Raw genomic sequence first — 21,948 nt, 5'->3', positions numbered from 1 at the left:
ATTATTTCTTTCGCTGTACAGAAGCTTTTTAGTTTAATTAAGTCCCATCTATTTATCTTTGCTTTTCTCGCATTTGCTTTTGGGTTCTTGGTCATGAAGTCTTTGCCTAAGCAAATGTGTAGAAGGGTTTTTCCAGTGTTCTAGGATTTTAATGGTTTCAGGTCTTAGATTTAAGTCTTTGATCCATCTTGAGTTGATTTTTATATAAGGTGAGAGATGAGGATCCAGTTTCATTCTCCTACGCATGGCTAGCCAATTAGCCCAGCATCATTTGTTGAATAGGATGTCCTTTCCCCGCTTTATGTTTTGCTTTCTTTGTTCAAGATCAGTTGGCTATAAGTAGTTGGGTTTATTTCTGGGTTCTCTATTCTGTTACATTGGTCTCTTTGCCTATTTTTATACCAGTGCCATGCTGTTTTGGTGACTGTGGCCTTATAGTATAGTTTGAAGTCAGGTAATGTGATGCCTCCAGATTTGTTCTTTTTGCTTAGTCTTGCTTTGGCTATGTGGGCTCTTTTTTTGGTTCCATATGAATTTTAAGATTTGTGTGTGTGTGTGGTTCTGTGAAGAATGATGGTGGTATTTTGATGGGAATTATGTTGAATTTGTAGATTGCTTTTGGCAGTGTGATCATTTCACAATATTGATTCTACTCATCCATGAGCATGGGAGGTGTTTCCATTTGTTTGTGTATGATTTCTTTCAGCAGTGTTTTGCAGTTTTCCTTGTAGAAATCTTTCACCTCCTTGGTTAGATATATTCCTAAGTATTTTATTTTATTGCAGCTATTGTAAAAGGGGTTGAGTTCTTGATTTGATTCTCTGCTGGCTCACTGTTGCTGTATAGCAGTGCTACTGATTTGTGTACATTGATTTTGTAACCTGAAACTACTGAATTCATTTATCAGATCTAGGAGCTTTTTGGATGAGTTTTTAGGGTTTTCTAGGTAGACAGTCATATCATCAGTGAACAGCAACAGTTTAACTTCCTCTTTACCAATTTGGATGTCCTTTATTTCTTTCTCTTGTTTGATTGCTCTGGCTAGGACTTCCAGCACTATGTTGAATAGAAGTGATGAAAGTGGGCATCCTTGTCTTGTTCCAGTTCTTGGGGAATGCTTTCAACTTTTTCCTGTTCAGTATAATGCCAACTGTGGGTTTCTCCTAGATGGCTTTTATTACTTTAAGGCACATCCCCTCTGTGCCGATTTTGCTGAGGGTTTTAATCATAAAGGGATGCTGGATTTTGTCAAATGCTTTTTTGGCATCCATTGAAATGATGAAGTGATTTTTGTTTTTAATTCTGTTTATGTGGTGTATCACATTTATTGACTTGCGTATGTTAAACCATCCCTGCATCACTGGTATGAAACCCACTTGGTCATGGTGGATATCTTTTTGATATGCTGTTGAATTTGGTTAGTTATATTTTGTTGAGGATTTCTGTGTCTGTGTTCATCAGGGATATTGGTCTGTAGTTTTCTTTTTTTGTTATGTCGTTTCCTGGTTTTGGTATTAGGGTTATACTGGCTTCTTATAATGATTTAAGGAGGATTCACTCTTTCTCTATCTTTTGGAATAGTTTCAATAAGATTAGTACCAATTATTCTTTGAATGTCTGATATAATTCAGCTGTGAGTTTATCTGGTCTTGGACTTTTTTTTGTTGGAAACTTTTTATTACCATTTCAATCTTGCTGCTTGTTATTGGTCTGTTCAGAGTTTCTATTTCCTCCTGGTTTGATCTAGGAGGGTTTGTATATTTCCAGGAATTTATCCATCACCTCTAGATTTTCTGGTTTGTGTGTATAAAGGTGTTCATAGTGGCCTTGAATGATCTTTTGTATTTCTCTAGTATTTTGGTTTTAATATCTCCCGATTCCTTTTTAATTGAGCTTACTTGGATCTTCTCTCTTCTTGGTTAGTCTTGGTAATGGTCTGTCAATTTTGTTTATCTTCAAAGAACTAGCTTTTTGTTTCATTTATCTTTTGTATTTTTTGTTGTTGTTGTTGTTTCAGTTTCATTTAATTGTGCTCTGATCTTGGTTATTTCTTTTCTCTTGCTGAGTTTAGGTTTGGTTTGTTCTTGTTTCTCTAGTTCCTGGAGGTTTGACCTTAGATCATCTATTTATGCTCTTTCAGACTTTTTGGTGTAGGCATTTAGTAGTATGAACTTTCCTCTTAGCACCTTTTTTGCTGTATCTCAGAGGTCTGTATATACTATTATTGTTCAGTTCAAAGAATTTTTTAATTTCCATCTTGATTTCATTGATGACCTGACAATCATTCAGGAGCAGATTATTTAATTTCCATGTATTTGCCTGGTTTTCAAGGTTCCTTTTGGAGTTGATTTCCAGTTTTATTCTACTGTGGTCTGAGAGTGTACTTGGTATAATTTTAATTTTCTTAAATTTATTGAGACTTGTTTTGTGGCCTGTCATATGGTTTATTTTGGAGAATGTTCCATGTGCTGATGAATAGAATGTATATTCTGCAGTTGTTGGGTAGAACGTTCTGTAAATATCTGTTAAGTCCATGTGTTGTAGGGTATAGTTTAAGTCCGTTGTTTCTTTGTTGACTTTCTGTCTTGATGACCTGTCTCGTGCTGTCAGTGGAGTATTGAAGTACACCACTATTATTGCGTTGCCGTCTATCTCATTTCTTAGGTCTAGTAGTAATTGTTTTATAAATTTGGGAGCTCCAGTGTTAGGTGCATATATATTTAGGATTGTGATATTTTCCTGTTGGACTAGTGCTTTTATCATTATATAATGTCCGTCTTTGCTTTTTAAACTATTGTTGCTTTAAAGTCCGTTTTGTCTGATATAATAGCTACTCCTGCTCACTTTTGGTGTCCATTTGCATGGAATACCTTTTTCCGCCCCTTTACCTTAAGTTTATGTGAGTCCTTATGTGTTAGATGAGTCTCTTTAAGACAGCGGACTTGGTTGGTGGATTCTTTTTTTTGAGACAGAGTTTCGCTCCTGTTGCCCAGGCTGGAGTGCAATGGCGCGATCTTGGCTCACCGCAACGTCCGTCTCCCAGGTTCAAGTGATTCTCCTGTGTCAGCCTCCCGAGTAGCTGGGACTACAGGCATCCACCACCATGCCCAGCTAATTTTTGTATTTTTAGTAGAGACAGGGTCACCATGTTGGCCAGGCTGGTCTCAAACTCCTGACCTCGTGATCTGCCTGCCTCGGCCTCCCAAAGTGCTGAGATTACAGGTGTGAGTCACCGCACCTAGCCCTCTTACATTCAGTGTTATTACTGAGATGTGAGTGAGGTACTATTCTATTCATCATGCTAGTTGTAGCCTGAATACCTTGTTTTTTATTTTTCATTGTGTTATTGTTTTATAGGCCCTGTGAGATTTTTTTCTTTAAGGAGGTTCTATTTTGGTGTATTTCAAGGTTTTGTTTCAAGATTTAGGACTCCTTCTACAGTTATTGTAGTGCTGGCTTGGTGGTGGCGAATTCTCTCAGCATCTGTTTATCTGAAAAGAACTTTATCTTTCCTTCATTTATGAAGCTTAGTTTCACTGGATACAAAATTCTTGGCTGATAATTATTTTTTTTAAGGAGGCTATCGATAGGACCCCAGTCCCTTCTAGTTTGTAGGGTTTCTGCTGAGAAATCTGCTGTTAATCTGGTAGGTTTTCCTTTATAGCTTACCTGATGCTTGTGCCTCACAGCTCTTAAGATTCTTTCCTTCATCTTGACTTTAGATAATCTGATGACTAAATGCATAGGTGATGATCTTTTTGTGATGAATTTTCTGGCTGTTCTTTGAGCTTCTTGTATTTGGATGTCTAGGTCTCTTGCAAGGCCGGGGAAGTTTTCCTTGATTATTCCTTCAAATAAGTTTTCCAAACTTTTAGATTTATCTTCTTCCTTGGGAACACCAGTTATTCTTAGGTTTGGTCATTTAGCATAATCTCAAACTTCTTGGTACCACCCAGTTGGTAGTTTTTTTATCCTCATCCTCTCCCACCCTACACCCTCAAGTAGGCTCCAGTGCCTATTGTTCCCTTCTTTGTGACCATGTGCACTCAATGTTTAGCTTCCCTTATAAGTGAAAACATGCAGTATTTGGTTTTCTGTCCCTGTGTTAATTTGCTTAGGATAATGGCCTCCAGCTCTATCGATGTTGCTGCAATGGACATAATCTCATTCATTTTTATGGCTGCATAGTATTCCATGGTGTATATGTACTACGTTTTCTTCATCCAGTCCACTGTTGTTGGGTATCTAGGTTGATTCCATGTCTTTGCTATTGTGTGTAGTGGTGCAGTGAACATAGGAGGGCCTGTGTCTTTATGGTAGAACTGTTAGTCCAAACTGTACCATTTTGTAAGCCCCTTGTCATTTCATAGACCTTGATCAAAGTGAAACATTCCTTGGGGGACTGGGCCGTGAGAAACATCCTGCCCGACTGCCTGACTTTCTTATCACATTCTGCTGGGAAAAAGTCCAAGGAACATCACTGTCACATCCTGCCAGAACAAGGGCCAAACCACCTCATCATGGGAACATCTTATCAACATCCTCCCGGGCAGCAAGCCATAACCCTCAGACCCCTCCCTCCCAGGCCTAAAATTGCCCCAGCCTGTAAGCAGAGGTGGGCCCTGGCATTAAGCTGGTGCCCCGCCTCTGCAGGTCTTATGCTGGACATAAAACCTGCATTGCTGTAGAGCCGCCAACTCTCTCTCAGTCTTTCTTTAATCCTCGCCTTCTCATCAAAACCTAAGAAGAACAATTCATATTCCTTCGGGTTCGTATTTAGTAATGGGATTGCTGGATTGAATGGTAGTTCTGAGGTCTTTGAGAAATCTCCAAACTGCTTTCCACAGTGGCTGAACTAATTTGCATTCCCAACAGCAGTGTGTAAGCATTCCCTTTTCTCTGCAACCTCACCAGCATCTGTTACTTTTTGACTTTTTAATAATAGCTATTCTGACTGGTACAAGATGGTACCAAGCATATGAAAAAATGGTCAACATCACTAATCATTAGAGAAATGCAAATCGAAACCACAATGAGATACAATTTCACACCAGTCAGAATGACTATTTTTATGCTTTCAACAGTTTCACTCTGATGTGTATATATTTGAATATTTTTGTATTTATTCTGCTTGAGACTTTTTGAGCCTCTTGGGTACATAAATTAATGTTTTTTCTAAATCAAACTTATGAGGTTTTCAGCCATGGTTTCTTCTTATGTTCTTTTTCCCCTTTGTGTCTCTCTTTTCCTATGAAAACTCCTATCATCCAAAATGTTGGTACCCTTGGTCATGTTACACAGGTCTCCAAAGCACTGTTCATTTTTCTTCCTTCTTTTTTTATTTTCATCAGCTGGTTTATCTCAGTAGATCTACAAGTTTTCTTATTCTTTCATCTGCCTGTGCAAGTCTGCTATTGAACTTTTTCTGGTGAATTTTTCATTCCAGTCATTGCACTTTGCAAATCTAGAATTTCTATTTGGTTTCTTAAAAAAAAAAATCATTTCTGTCACTTTATTGGTAGTCTCATAAGACATCTTGTTGTACTTCCCTTTAAATTAAATATTTTAGTTTCCTTTAGTTCTTTGAACATATTTATATTAGCTGACTTAAAGTTTTTGCCAGTAAGTTCAACATCTGGGCTTCCTCAGGAATAAATTCTATTGACTACTTTTTTTCCCCCATAGATGGGTCATAGTTAAGTATTTCTTTGTGTGTCTCATAATTATTTTGTCAGAAACATTATATTTTAAATATTATAATGTGACAACACTGGTAATCAGACCTTCCCTTTCCCTATCCCTGGGGTTTGTTGTTTTTGTTGTTGTTTGTGACCTTCCTGGACTATTTCTGTAGTCTTTATTCTGTATCTTGTATAGACACTGAAGTCTTTGTTTGATTAGCTGAGTCACAAATAATAATTTGACAGATTTTCTTAAATGCTTTAAACCAGTATGTCTCCCATCATTTTCCAACGGGTGCTGTGTATGTTGGGGCGTGCTTTCCATGCCCCGGGAGTTCACAGCTCTGCCTTAGCCTTCACTTCCTGCTTTGTGCAGAGCCTCAGAGTCAAGCAAAGGTTAGAGAGCGGAGCTCTGTCAGGTCTTTAGTGGCTGTTTGCTTAGCCCTGCACATGCACATGACCTTCTGTATCCCCAGAAATATTTTAGAAATTTTCAAAGCCCCCTAAGGACATCTCATTTCTCAAATTTTCCTTTTAAGTTTTTTGGCCAGCCTCTTGTTTGCCCCTGCTAAAATTGCTGCTTCTGGCAGCTGCAAGATTAACCAAATACTACTGATTTTTTTGGACAAACTCCCTGGGCATAGGGCTTTTCATGCTGAATGAGCTCTTGAGTCAGGTGAAGTAAAGATTAGCCTGTGAATAGGGCTTTTCTAGGAGCACCAGACAGGTCACATAGTGACAGTTCTCTGGGGATGAGATTTTGGCCCAGAGCTGCTTTTGTAGCTAGGCTGCTGGCATTCACAGTTACTGTGGTTCTGAGGCTGCTGGTTTCCAAGACTGCTATGGAACTGGGAAGAGGTGCATGGAAATTGAGAATGAGTAGGTTAAAACACCAGAAACTTCACCATTTTTACTAAGATTCAGCTACTTTTCTTAAATAGATGTTCAGGATTGTTGCAAATCTTTGATTAATTTTTTAGAGTTCTGCAAAAGTTGATTTTGACAATTTTGCCAGTGTTCTAATTGCTTTGTGATGAAATGAATTTTTAGAAATCCCTCATCCACCATTCCAGAAGTGCCTCTCAATCTGCCTGTGCTTTTAATCCCTATGCATATTGCCTCTCTATTTGATATCTAAATAATGGCCTATAAATATTTATTGGCAGCCATGAAAGTCCACTGTTTGATTTCATTGAGAGCTGCTTGCGAAATAAACATGAAATGGTTATTTATGAAGCTGCTTCAGCTATCATCCATCTTCCTAACTGCACTGCAAGAGAGTTGGCACCTGCTGTTTCAGGTTTGTTTTATATTTGATGGCTGGCTTTTATGTTCCTAAGTTTTTGCTTTAAGTTTCATAGGTCTACAGAATAGGTATTAAGAATGTTTTCTGAACACTAGCTCTGTGTATATATAGCCTTTGCATTCTGATAGCTTATATGTAGATAGTTTATTTTAGTTGTTCCTTACTTTATTACTTTTTTTAATGTTTCTATTTCTCCATATAAAACTTTTGAAAGAATTTTATTTATATGTACATAGTTTATTAATAATAGTTCTTTATTGCTTTTTTTTAAAGTTTCTGTTTCCTCGTATGAAACTTTTGAAAACATTTTACAGTTTTCCTTGGTGTTTAAAAAGCCCATTTGTTTTCAGAACTGTCAATATTTCTACCATTTAGTTCAGGTATTAATGGGTATTCTAATTTTTTTTTAAAAAGAGCAAACTTTGTTTCTTATTTAAGTTTTTATAACTGACCAAAAGTGCTTTTTCTTTTTTTTTTTTCTTTTTTTTTTTTTTTTTTGAGACGGAGTCTCACTCTGTCACTGAGGCAGGAGTGCAGTGGCACGATAGCTCGGCTCACTGCAAGCTCTGCCTCCTGGGTTCACGCCATGCTTCTGCCTCAGCCTCCCGAGTAGCTGGGACTACAGGCGCCCCAAAAGTGCTTTTTCTATTTTGATGTTACATTTTTCATGTAAATTTTTGATGCTGTGATAAAATGTATGCATATTTTGAATGTGATTCATTATGTACTATATTTTCAGCTATATGGTATATGATGAGATAAGGAATATTCACAGCATATATAGGTAATAGTCACTGTATCTATATCTGTATTTTACTTCTTCAACTTTTCTATAGTTCTCTTAAGCCAGGAGTATTCACGGTATGTATATGTAATATTACTTAATGTTACATATTATTATTATTATTTTTTTTTAGTTCTTCAACTTTTCTGTAGTTCTCCTAAGCCAGCCTTGAGATATGCAGCTGTGAGGACCTTGAACAAGGTAGGTGTTTCTTTGCTAATTATTGACTTATATCAGTATTTAATTGAGAAACATTAAATGTGAAGCATTTGGTTTTCTCTCCAAGGTTAGTATATGTGATTTATGGGCTTCACCTCTACAACACTTCACTTGTATTTGTGGCCTTGAGTATGCTCATTTTTATTATTATTTAGCTGAAGATTATAACTCATTTCTGACTTCTAAGCATTTTATATTCAAGAGCCACACTGTCCAATATGGTGGCCATTAGCCACCAGTGGCTATTTCAATTTAAATTAATTAAAATAAAAAATTCAACCCTCAGTCACATGAGTCACACTTCTTGTACTCACAGCCACATGTGGTCAGTGGCTGTTGGACAGTGCAGATCTTGAACATTTCTGTCATTGAAGAAAGTTCTCTTGCACAGTGCTGGTCTACAGCAGCCCTGTCCAGTAGAAACCCACTGTGAATCACATATGTAATATTAAATTTCATAATAACCACATTAAAATTTTTAAGGTAAAATTAATTTTAATAGTATATTTTATCATAATACATATAATATGTCATCTCAACATGTAATAGATATTTTTACATATCTCAAGTTTTTGACATCCAGTATATTTACATTTACAGCATACTCAGTTTGGATTAGCCACCTTTCAAATGCCTGGTAGTCACATGTTGCTGTTGGCTATGTTATTAGACAGTATAGATTTAGAGGATATAATACAGAAACACAGAATAAATTAAATAAGCATAGAAAATGTAAATGAAAGTTAAATGTAATAGAAGACTTGTCATAGGCAATACATAATTATAAATTAATTGTGTAAACAGTCGAAGAAAAGAGAAGTTTAGAGCAGCCATGGAAGAAACCTTTATAGAACAACAATTTAAATGGTTTTTTATTTATTTATTTTTTTTGGAGACAGAGTCTCACTTTGTCTCCCAGGCTAGAGTGCAGTGGCACGATCTTGGCACACTGCAACCTCCGCCTCCCAGGTTCAAGCGATTCTCATGCCTCAGCCTCCCAAATAGCAGGGATCACAGGCACCTGCCACCACGTCCGGCTAATTTTTGTATTTTTAGTAGAGACAGGGTTTCGCCATGTTGGCCAGGCTGCTCTCAAACTCGTGACCTCAGGTGATCTGCCCACCTCGGCCTCCCAGAGTGCTGGGATTGCAGGTATGAGCCACCAAGCCTGGCCTAAATTGTTTTTAAAGAGTTGATACAGGTCTACAATCCCTCATCTCTAATCTTGGGGCCAGATGTGTCTCAGAATTTGCTTTTAGTTAAATTTTAGAAAGGTTATATGGTGTTATCTCTTATTTACTAACCCCAGTGGGCCTGGGGCAGCATCCCACCATTAAAAAACATTAATATTTTTGCACAAAACATATGACTATCCTTGTCAAGTGGTATAAATTAAGAATTAAAGAGTTTCGCATTAGTTTGGGTCATGTTTTGCTGTTAAATGGATTTTCATCCCAGTGCTCTGCTTTCCAGAGTGTTTTCAGATTTTCCAAATTGTGGGTAAGGGATTCCATACCAATATTGGGATAGACAAAGAGGTGGGACAACATCAACAAAAACAAGGATGCAGGAGAATGGCAGACCATGTAGTAACCATAGATAATGCAGTTTGGCTGGAGTTTGCGTCTTGAAATGCAGCAGTATTTTTTAACTGATAAGATATTAACAGTCTTTGTCGAGCACTGACTACTATGCTAGATCCTGTTGTCAGTACTCCTAACATCTAATAGAATAGACGTATATGAACACACGTACTATAAGGAAATACAGGCCAATTATAATTTTTTAAAAATGGTAATGTTAGAAAGGTTAGAGGAACCTAACAAAAGAGAGTACGATGCTATACTCTGGCCGTTGATCATTTATTAAAAGATATACCTTGTTAACTGGAGCCATTCTTTTTGTTTTTGAAGCAATTACTTTTAACTTATCCTGTCCTCTTTGGATTGCCACTTACCTCAATTAAAATTTAAGTTCTGGCCTTTATCAAAAGCAATTTGCTTAATTTTTTTTCTTGCCCTTCCACAAGGTGGCAATGAAGCACCCCTCTGCTGTTACTGCCTGCAATCTGGACTTAGAAAACTTAATCACAGACTCAAACAGAAGCATTGCTACCTTAGCCATTACTACACTCCTCAAAACAGGAAGTGAGAGCAGTGTGGACCGGCTCATGAAGCAGATATCTTCTTTTGTGTCTGAAATCTCAGATGAGTTCAAGGTAAGAGTTTAAACATGATCATATTTTCTCCCAGTCTGTTGGCTGCCTATTTATTTTCTTAACGGTATCATTTGAGAAGCAGAAGTTTTAAATTTTTATGAAGTCTAATTTATCAATTTTTTTCTTTCATAGTTATTACTGTTCCCTAAGAAACCTTTATCTACTTGTTTTCTCATGCTTTAGGCTAAATGCTTTATGGTTTTAGATTTTACATTTTAGGCAATGATCCAACTTGAATTACTGTTTGTTTGGTAAGTTCAGTATTTTTTCCATACCTATATCTACTGTATTCCACCATAATTTGTTGGAAAGACTTCCTTTTCCCTGTTGGAGTGCTTTGGCACCTTTGTCTACAAAGCAAATACCCATATATTTTAGGTATATTTTTGGGCTTTGTATTATGTTACTGAACTGTTTGTCAATCCAGTACCAGTACCACACTAATATTGATTAATGTAGCATTATGGTACCTCTTAAGTAGTGCGGTCTTCCAACTTTTTCTTTTTTAATATTCTGGTTCCTTTGCATTTCCTATGAAATTTAGGACCAATTTATCAATTTCTACTAAACAAGCCTGCTAGGATTATGACTGGGATTGTGTTGAATCTATAAATCAATTTGGGGAGAACTGACATCTTAACATTATTTTTCTATTTCATGAATATGGTATATCTCTCCCTTTAGATCTTCTTTAATTTCTCTGAGCAGTGTTTTGTAGTGTTTACTCTAGAGGTCTTGCAAATCTGTTGTTAAATTTATATCTAAATATTTTATGCTTTTGATATTTTATTAAAATTTTTATTTTATTGTTTACTATTAATGAAAAACTTTTAAAAAATACTTCTCCATATTAACTTGGTATCCTGTAACCTTGCTGAGTACTTTTACTGGTTCTAGTCATCATTATACGTATTCCTTGAGATTATCTATATAAATAATTGTGCCATTTGTGAATAGAGGCAGTTTTACTTCTTTATATCCAATCCAAATGCCTTTCCTTTGTTTTTCTTGCCTAATTAAAAAAGTACTTCCAGAACAGGGTTGAATAGAACTGGTGAGAGTATGTCAGAGATGATTTTAAAAAAATAAATAAATAAATTTCAGTTAAAAGAATAAAAGTAGAAACATTTTATTGCTTCATTCTTTTTTTATACTCAGTCAAGTAATATAACTAACCCTATTTACTCTCTACTTAGTATGCATCCAGACTTTTAAAAAACAAACTTTACCCATGTATTCAAGCAGACAGTTTTGTGCATCTGGTGTAGCAGTTGCTGTTCTAGTTTTTTCAAATTGCATTTGTAGGAGTGAGTTTTTTGCTAAAGACGTGTATTTGTTATTAAGATACCTTGGCTTTGATTTTGAGTGCCTGTGGTAGTGGGATCTTCGTATGACCTCTTGAGCAGTACACAGGGTCAGTGGTCTCTATGATTCCTCAGTGACTTAGGGTACAGGCATTAGTTGAGGTTGTGGTGAAGTTTAGCTGGGGATCTGGACACATAGTCAGTCAGTCTTTGGGCTCCAGTAGTGGCAGCAGTACACCAAATGTGCCTATTTTTAGGCCCAGCTTACACTGGCTCCAGTGTTTGTGGGTACTAGAGGGCTATCCTTGGGCCTCAAGGTGGCTTGCTAGAAAGAGATACTGAGAGCAGTGAGCTCAGTGTGTGAGTGGGTTCTCCGGCCCCTGGCAGCTGGGGTGGTGTGGGTGATGGGCAGTAGTGATGTTGGAGCAACCTACAGGGACACAAGCAGTCTTATGTTGGTGTTGGCAGAAGCTGCAATGGGTTGGGTAGGCTGCATTTTCCGCATTTTCTTTAGGATTTTTAGTCTTTTGTTTCCTTAATTTTTTTGTATATTCAGGATATTAGCTCTTTATCTGTGAAAGATGTTATGAATATCTTCTCCCGGTTTGTCATTTGTCTTTTGACTTTTCTTATGATGTCTTTGGACATGCAAAAGTGTTATTTTTTTTAGGTAGTCATATTTGCCAACCTTTTATTTTATTTGACTTTGAATTCATAATTAAAAATTATATTCCCTTCAAATTTTAGAGTAATTCACTCATGTTCTCTTCTAATACATTTATAGTTTCATATTTTACATTTAGATCTCTGGTCCATTGAATTTTTTTATTATATATGCTATAAACAGATTCAATCTTATCCTTTTCCATTGACTACACAGTTAGTTGCCCCCCAAAATTCTATTTAAAGCCAGGTGTGGTAGCTCACACCTTTAATCCCAGCACTTTGGGAGGCCAAGGCAGGGGCATCGCTTGAGTCCAGGAGTTCAAGACCAGCCTGGGCAACATAGTGAGACCCTGTCTCTACAAAAAAATACAAAAATTAGTCAGACATGGTGGTGCACACCTATAATCCCAGTTACTTGGGAGGCTGAGGTGGGAGGATCACTTGAGCCTGGGAGGTTGGGGCTGCAGTGAGCTGTGATCATATTGCACTCTGTCCTGGGCAACAGAGCAAGATCTTCTGTATTAGTATGTTGTCACACTACTATAAAGAAACACCTGAGACTGTGTAATTTATAAAGAAAAGAGGTTTAATTGGCTCACAGTTCTGCAGGCTGAACAGGAAGCATGGCAGCATCTGCTTCTGGGGCAGCCTCAGGGAGCTTTTACTCACAGTGGAAGGCAAAACAGGAGCAGACGTCTTACATGGCAGGAGCATGACCAAGGGGGGTGTGGAGGAGTGTTACACACTTTTAAATGACCAGATCTCACAAGAACTTACTATCACAAGAACAGCACCAGCAGGGAAATCCGCCCCCATGATCCAGTCACCTCCCACCAGGCCCCACCTCCAACACTGGCGATTACAATTCAACATGAGATTTGGTTGGGGGCACAGATCCAAACCACATTACCTTATCTAAAAAAAAATTATTTTAATTTTTTCTGTAGACGGGAAAGCTGAAAGAAAATTTTTAAGACCGTCTTTGCCCCAGTAATTTCAGACATCATCTTTATCATATGTACTTGAGTTTGTATGTTCATACAAACTCAAAAAAGTTGCGTATGTACTTGAGTCTGTTTCTGGAGTGTCTTTTCTACTTATATATTGGTCTGTTTATTCATATACTACTGCTATACTCTGTTCTAAATATAGAAGCTTTGTAGGATGCTTAGCCCTCCATCATAGTTCTTTATTTTCATTGTTTTCCTGGCTATTCTTGCATGATTTTTTTTTTTTTTTTTTTTTGAGATGGAGTTTCATTCTTGCTGCCCAGGCTGGAGTGCAACGGCGTGATCTCTGCTCACTCTGCAACCTCCCCCTCCCAGGTTCAAGCGATTCTCCTGCCTCAGCCTCCCAAGTAGCTGGGATTACAGGCACCCGCCACCCGCCACCATGCCCAGCTAATTTTTTATATCTTTAGTGGAGACGAGGTTTCACCACGTTGGCCAGGCTGTTCTCGAGCTCCTGACCTCAGGTGATCCACCCGCCTCGACCTCCCAAAGTGCTGGAATTACAGGCATGAGCCACCATGCCCAGCCACATGTTTATTTTTCTAATGAACTTTAGTATCAAGTTGTCTAGCTTCATAAAAAACCCTGTTGACATTTTCTGTTGGGATCACGTTAAATTCATAAGTTAGGGGAGAATACATATCCTGATGATGTTGGAACATCCTAAGAACAAGGATGTCTTTTAATTTGTTCAAATCTGCTTTTATGCCTTTCAAGAATGTTTTATAAAAAATATTTTTATATTAGTTTTGAATGGTTTTAAAATGCTTATTTCTAAATAACTTACCTTTTTCATTGCTATTATAAATGTTTTTTATTCCATTTTATCTTCTACCTGGTTATCATTTATGTATATGAATATTACTGGTTTTGCATGTTAATTTTATATCCTGCTACCTTGGTGAATTATCGAGTTAGTTTTATTATTCATTCTCTAGGGTTTTCATATATACCATCATGTCATCTAAAAATAAAGATATTTTTGTTTGTTTTGTCTTCTCCGATTCTTGTTTCTTTGTTTTCCCTTATCTAATTGCATTGGCTAATATCTCCAGAATAATGCTAAATAATTGTGGAGATAGTGGCATCCTTGCATCACTTCTGACCTCAATGGGAATGCCTTTCAGGGTTCCATATTAAGTAATATGCTGTCATTAGGATTGAAGTATATATGTTTATGTTATGGACATATCCATCTGTTCCTTTTTTTTTCAAGAATGTTTATTAGGAATGGATGTTGGATTTTATCAAAGCCTTTTCAGCATTTTGGATATAATCCTTTGACTCATGAATGTGATGTTATTTTATCAATTTTCTAATGCTGAACCATCTTTACATTCTTGATAAAACCCATTTCATCATGGTGCATTATTTCTTTAAGGTAGTGTTAGAATCTATTAACTAATATATTTCTTAGAATTTTTACATCGGTATTTATAAATGATTTTAGTCTGTAATTTTTCTTTCTGTACATATATACCATCTTTATTAGGCTTAAGTATCATTGCTTCATACAAACATTATGGAGATTTTCTTTCATTTTCTATGCTCTGAAACTGTATATATGGATTTGGGGTTATCCGATTGTTGGTAGACAATTCTAAATTCTCCATGAGTCTCTTCTCATTTCTGCACATCTTGCAAGTTAGGCGCTAACTGCCCTCTGTTTCCTGCTACCATAACTGTATTCCCTTTCTATAATACAAGACATCTTCTAGCCTTAGAAGATAGAGATCATGTCTCCCTCTAAAGGAAAGGGAAGATTTCCTTGCAGCCCCAGGAAATACTAATAGTATTTAGAGCAAAAAGCCCTCTGGAGCAAAAAGTAAACATGTTTATGGTCCAATATAATAATGTTTTCCTTCGGAAAAAAGGACAGGCATACTTACTCCCCACTGTAAAATGTTCAGGTTCCATCCTTAGGGTTCTTATTCAGTAATGCAGCCTACTGCAAGACCAGGTATTATCTGGCTCTCTTTGCATTGCACTTTGGGAATTGGGGCTCAGGAGACCCACCCCAAAATGCTCACACTCTGGCTACTGCTACTGCTGTGAGTAGTTAACTGTCTTTCATCGCTGAGCCAGGAGTCTCTTGTTTTCTACCAGCATCCATGAAATTGTGACAGGTTAACTTGTTAGCCACAAGCAGGGTAAAATCTCACGTTCTTCACACATCTTGACACTGGTCTTTATTTTTATTTTATTTTATTTTATTTATTTTTTGAGACAGAGTCTCTCTCTGTCACCCAGGCTGGAGTGCAGTGGTGCGATCTCAACTGACTGCAACCTCCGCCTCCCAGGTTCAACCAATTCTCATGTCTCAGGCTCTCCGAGTAGCTGGGACTGCAGGCCCACGCCACCACACCTGGCTAATATTTGTATTTTTTTAGTAGAAACGGTATTTCACCATATTGGTCAGGCTGGTCTCGAACTCCTGACCTTTGGTGATCCACCCACCTTAGCCTCCCACAGTGCTGGGATTACAGGCATTAGCCACCGTGCCTGGCTGACACTGGTCTTTAAAATTGTGGTAAAATTCCCCTAGAAACCATTTTGTGAAGTAGTTCCTTGATAGCTTTCTCTATTCTTCTATGGAAGTCAGTCTGTTCAAGCTTTTTATCTTTATGGTTCACTTTAAAATCTTTGATGTGATCATTTGTCTGAGACAGAGGGAAGGGATCTGTTGAATGAACTTTATTTTTACATTGCTTTGTATTTTCCTTTGTGGTCTCCTTGGTTATCTTCCATGAAGAACAATTATTGTCATTTTAGGCAACTACAGGATCTTCTTAGCTTGTAGTAAGTAGGAAAGTATGTTTAGTAGCCATAATTATAAAGATGAATGTCTTTTCTCTGTTTGCTTTTTATAGGTGGTAGTTGTACAGTCATAAAAATGAATATTCTTTTTGTTTTTCTACAGGTGGTGGTTGTACAGGCAATTAGTGCTCTCTGTCAGAAATACCCTCGAAAGCACAGTGTCATGATGACTTTCCTCTCCAACATGCTCCGAGATGATGTAGGTAGACTACTTTTTAATCATAGGAAGTTGCTGTCTTAAATTCTTAGGATTGCCATGAAATACCATAGTGTTTTAAGATTTCCTTATCATCTCAGTATGCCTCTCAAGTAGTACACTAAGTCTGGTTACTGTCTTATTACTAAACATGCCATTGCTTTGCTTTCCCCACTTGGAGAAAAAACACTTTTGCTTCTTTCATAAAAGGTGGGAAATGAAATTTGAATATTATAAGCATAAACCTTGGAGTGTAAGCATTTCTCCAAAATGTGTCCCTAGAATGAATGGCAGTTTTATCTTCTTTTTTGCCAGGGAGGCTTTGAGTACAAGCGGGCCATTGTGGACTGTATAATCAGCATTGTGGAAGAGAACCCTGAGAGTAAAGAAGCAGGCCTAGCCCACCTTTGTGAATTCATTGAGGACTGTGAACACACTGTTCTGGCTACTAAGATTCTACACTTGTTGGGCAAAGAGGGCCCTAGAACGCCTGTCCCCTCCAAATATATCCGTTTTATTTTTAATAGGGTTGTCCTGGAGAATGAGGCTGTCAGAGCTGGTGAGTCATTGGGACACTGATATTGACGATGCTGATCTTTTGAAATACTTAAGAGAGTGATAATGAAATTGGAAAATGAAGTTGCAGGATTTATTGGATGGTGGGATTTTAGAGCATGCTTAGGGCCCAGATATCTTTCTTTGTACTCAATTTCCACCCTCATTTTTGCCTTAGATTAGACAAATAACCCTTCGCTTTCAGTAAGATAGGAATACTATGATGGCTCATCCGTTTTTTCAGTTATAGCCGTAAGCATGAATGTTTGTAGAATTTGTTTATGTGTTTCTATATATATATTTTTAAGCGACTTTTCCTCCCTAATCTTTCTTTCCCTTAGCATATGAATAGATCCAAATCTCTCCCATTAAAGATGTAAACTGTCTATGAGCTTTTCACTAGCTACTGACTCTATACTTTCCTTCCCCTCGGAGATAAACTTGAAGTAGCCGTTATTAGCTGCCTGCATGAATTCATTATCCATTTTTCTCTTTAACTCAGAATAATGTAGCTCTCCCTTAAAAATCCTCAAGTAATTTTATTGAAAATTACTTATAAACTAGTTGTAAAATCAAGTTAGATACTTTAATGTTCTTACCTTTGTTTACACTCAGTCCACTTGATGTGCTATTGACTGAACACTTCGTGAAACCCCATAGCCTTGGTTTCCACAATAGCCTACATGTTTCCATCACTCCTCACTCTTATTTACAGAGCTCCTCTTTCCAGCACCATTCCTTAAAATATTAGTTCTCTGTAAGATTTTGACTTCTCAACATCTACATTCCTCTTGGTGATCATTTTCAGAGCTCTGCTAATAGGCTGTGACATTCCAGTCATGTCTCTTTCCTGAACTTGTTTGTCCAAATAACTTAAAGCACTTCAAACTCAACCTGAAATTCAAACTAACCTCACATTCATCATCCACTCAGTTATCAAGATAGAATCTTGTTCTGCTGCCTTACAGCCCCTATCTGTTCTTTAGCAAAGCGCTTTCAATTGTGTCTCCTTAATATTTCTTCATTCTCTTCTATTTTCTTGGTGCTGATTGAGGCTGTCATCCGTTTCAGATCCCTAGCTATCTGACTGCTTCTAGACTCACATATATCCTGCCTATTCTTTACACTCTGCTAAAAAAAAAAGAAAAGGCGGGGGGGACTTTCAAATGTACAAATTTATCTCATATTTAATATCCTTTAATAATAATGTTGAGATTAAACCATACCCTAATTTTGTTTTATTGCCAGTCTCTCCCTTGTCTCTTCTTGCTCTCCAACATGGGTCCTTTGCTCAGCCTTGCCCAACTGTCCAGTAATACACCACACTTTCTTCTCTGGGCAGGGGCCATTCGAACGTGTTATTTTCTCTGCCTCTAATACTCTTATCCTGCCTTTTTCCTCTGGCTAACAGTACTTGGTCTTCAGATTTTAGCTCAAGTAATATGTATTAACTCTTTGTCTTAGTTTTCCACCACCAATTCGGATTTAGTTCCTTTCTGTGTATTCACATAGCATCCTGGATATATTTCTTCCATGGACTTACCTATGATGTCTTGTAATTGTCTCTCTACATACCTATCTTTCCCACTAGAGTGTAGCTCCTTGAGATCAGGGACATGTCTTTTATCTGTCCCAGTACCTAGCACAATTCCTGACAAAAGTTTGGTGAACAATGAATCTTTGTTGAATGAGAGGAATTTTAATAATAGAATTTCTTTTTATGCTTGGGGCTGGTTGTTTGAGATTAGAGCTTAATGACATCAGTGTGATATATAAGGGGTTGTGGTGGGGTGGAGATATAGCTCCTACAGAAAATCTATATGAATCTTTTTCCTCAATTTTTGGAAGATTTTCCTATTCAGAGCTCTCTTGGGCTTGCAGAATTCTATTTATGCTTAACAGTATCAAAGAAATAAGATCAAGAAACACTCAATAAAACAAGGGAGTTTATCTCCACTGAACATGGGGACACTTTTCTAATTTTTTTTCAAATGGTTATTGGTTAACTCTGAGAAACCAATATTTATGTACCATAATTGTATGCTTCATTATAGCTGCTGTGAGTGCTTTGGCTAAATTTGGGGCTCAGAATGAGAGTCTTCTCCCAAGCATCCTTGTACTCTTACAGAGGTAAGTTAAATAATGTCTTTTCTAAAAAAAAATAAGAATTCTATATGGTTAAACAGTGAAATCCTCATTCTACCATAGGGCGGATGCACTCTAAGCCCTAAGAGTAGAGTTATTGGAGCAAGTCAGGGGCAAATGGCAATTCCTTTCTCTTTTTAGTAATTATGTATACCTCCCAATCAATTTGATGTGCTATTGACTGATCACTTCATGAAAGCCCCTAGCCTTGGTTTACACAATAGCCTACATGTTTCCATCACTCCTCACTCTTATTTATAGAGCTTCTCTTCCCAGCCCCATTCCCTAAAATATTAGTTCTCCATAGGGTTTTATTTGCTAGGTACATGTCACATTTGATTTTGGCTTTCTCTCACATGATTTTGAGAAAGTGACTTAAATACATTTGCCTCAATTTGTACAACAGGGGCTTACTTAAAAAAACTGTTAGGTAATTCACTATGCAGAGTTAAAAATAATAGTTTTTCATTGTCTTCATGACTCTATTTGATGAGGAAAAGACTTGCTTTAGCAAACTGTGATTGCATCTTATAATTGAAGCAGATAAATTACAAGCCAAAGGTTGGCTAGTTTACGTAAAACAAATTGTCATTTGAGCAAAAACAGTGGCTGGATTTTGAATTTATCTTTTCAGTATCCTTGGAGAGTATAATACTCCCATTTCCTAATTACAGAGAAGTCTAAGTCTTCAACAGGGTCATGTAGTTACAGATGGAAGAAAAGACTCCAGACTGCTATTTCATGTTCTTGTGCTCCTCGTTATTTTAATGCCTACTTATGTAGTGCTTGTGATTCACAGTAGCAGTATTTCTTTAGTAATTCAGAGCAGTACCCAAGATTTGTGAAGACTTTAGGAGCCACTGTTGGCTATTGTTGAGCACTTTTTTAAAGGTAGTATCAGATGACGACCTGAGCTGTGTCCTTTAGATTTGGTAGTAGAGCTATTGGAAGTCTTTGGGGTACTGTGACATGACTATTCTGTTTCCCCTGGACAGGTGTATGATGGATACTGATGACGAGGTACGAGACAGAGCTACCTTCTATCTGAATGTGCTGCAGCAGAGGCAGATGGCACTAAATGCCACATATATCTTTAATGGTCAGTGAAAGCCAAGGATGTACACTTTTGTTCCTCAAATGGTGTCTTGGAAGCATATTTTATGATTTGCATATGAGCTAACTTCACTAGGCAAATGCTTGGTTTTTGTCTTTGAGTGCACTTCCATTTCTAGAGAAACCTGTGTTTATAGGATATTTTCTAATTTGGTAATGATAATTCCTATGCAGCAATCTATAAGAATATAGATTGGGCCCTTACATTTTTTAGGAACGTTGCTCACTTATTCCTGGTTCTCCTTGAACTCCCTCTTGGATGGGTTTACATTTTTCCCGTTTTCTTATGCTATCATTGTTCCCATATAGCTAAGTTGCTTTCTTTTCTGGGAGGTACATACATTTTGTTGAAAATGTGTATGCTATGCTCCCATGTTTCCTTGAATGAAATAAGTCAGTTTATAAGTTTATAAGGTAATTTCAAGAATATCCTTTATTTTTATATTTAGGTTATAAAGCTTTTGGTTATATTTTTCTCTTCCTTCAGAAAGCTTAGATAAATATTACAAACCTGGGCCTATTTGGATTCGAGGATTGGCAAGAGGTTATAATGCTGAGATTTCTCTATGTTTCACAGGTTTGACGGTCTCTGTACCAGGGATGGAAAAAGCCTTACACCAGTACACGTTGGAGCCTTCAGAAAAACCGTTTGACATGAAATCAATTCCTCTTGCTATGGCTCCTGTCTTTGAACAGAAAGCAGGTTCACTCTATTCATTTTTCTGTGTATAAGTAGTTTTGCAAAACTAAAAAATATTAGCATATTTTCTCTAATACTCATTTAATTGTCACTCTTTTTTTTTTTTTTTTTTTTTGAGATAGAGTCTCACTCCCGTCGCACAGGCTGGAGCACAGTGGCGCGATCTCTAGTCACTGCAACCTCTACCTCCCGGGTTCAAGCGAGTCTCCTTCCTCAGCCTTCCGAGTAGCTGGGATTACAGGCATGCGCCACCACACCTGGCTAATTTTTCTATTTTTAGTAGAGACTGGATTTCACCATGTTGGCCAGGTTGGTCTTGAACTCCTGACCTCAGGTGATCCACCCACCTCGGCCTCCCACAGTGCTAGGATTACAGGCGGGAGCCACCGTGCTCAGCCGATTGTCACCCCTTCTAAATCTTTTAGATTTAAGACATATTTTTATTAGAGTTTAAAAAAAACTCCTGGTTTTTACATAAAAGCAGTAAGATGAAATGCACTCCAAAATGAAGGGTTTTTTTTAATGCAAAGCATTACAGTATCTGAAGTCAGTTGCCACTGTGCATCTCAGAGCAGTAATAGTGCTGTCGCCTCCTATTTTTATTTTCTGAAGTTGATAATCTCTAAGTTAATTGATTTTGTTATTGGAGGTTCGTCTTAAAAGAATTTATGGGCGACAATCATAAAAAATATTCCCAAAGAATATCTAATCTTAAAACTTAAAAACAAAAACAAAAGAAGTCATAAATGTTTAGTGGTTAGAACACAAAACTGGGAAGAAACAATTTTATGCTTATTTTCAACATTTTCAGTTTTTCTGTTGATATAAGTAATTTTTCCTATTTTGATCATGAGAAGATTTTTAAAATAAATTGTTTTTCCTTTTCTGAGTAATTTTTGTACATTCCAGTCCATTTAAAGCAAACTCTATATTTTTAGGGCTTACTTTATGATTCCACAATATATGTTCACTAAATACATTTTAATTTGAGTGTCCCCCCACCAGAAGTGATAGATAACCTATAAGTATGATCTAGTAATAGCTCATTATATATCTGCTAGAAATGTCTGCTCTCCTCTCTTTCTGTCTGCATTGCTAGCTTGATAGTAGTGGGAGAAGTTCACTTACTTGCTCATATCTGTCTTTATAGAAATCACACTTGTGGCTACTAAGCCAGAGAAGTTGGCTCCTTCCAGGCAAGACATTTTCCAAGGTATGATGATTTGATGGTTAG

The 21,948-nt window shown here is 37.2% G+C and overlaps 1 protein-coding gene across 2 annotated transcripts in view; it reads left to right on the top strand.

Annotated features, from left to right (window-relative positions):
• COPG2 (coat protein complex I subunit gamma 2) overlaps window positions 1-21,948 on the top strand; it is a 162,511-nt gene that overhangs the window by 97,508 nt on the left and 43,055 nt on the right. For both annotated transcript variants that reach the window (NM_012133.6, NM_001290033.2), the window contains exons 10-18: window positions 6,848-6,981; window positions 7,905-7,972; window positions 10,020-10,208; window positions 16,109-16,204; window positions 16,517-16,760; window positions 18,811-18,886; window positions 19,897-20,000; window positions 20,592-20,717; window positions 21,865-21,927. In NM_012133.6, the coding sequence (NP_036265.3) occupies window positions 6,848-6,981; window positions 7,905-7,972; window positions 10,020-10,208; window positions 16,109-16,204; window positions 16,517-16,760; window positions 18,811-18,886; window positions 19,897-20,000; window positions 20,592-20,717; window positions 21,865-21,927 (1,100 nt within the window). The remainder of the gene's footprint in view (window positions 1-6,847; window positions 6,982-7,904; window positions 7,973-10,019; window positions 10,209-16,108; window positions 16,205-16,516; window positions 16,761-18,810; window positions 18,887-19,896; window positions 20,001-20,591; window positions 20,718-21,864; window positions 21,928-21,948) is intronic.

The sequence above is a fragment of the Homo sapiens genome, chromosome 7, assembly GCF_000001405.40.
Source record: "Homo sapiens chromosome 7, GRCh38.p14 Primary Assembly".
NCBI lineage: Eukaryota > Metazoa > Chordata > Mammalia > Primates > Hominidae > Homo > Homo sapiens.
This window is presented reverse-complemented; position numbering and strand designations above follow the sequence as displayed.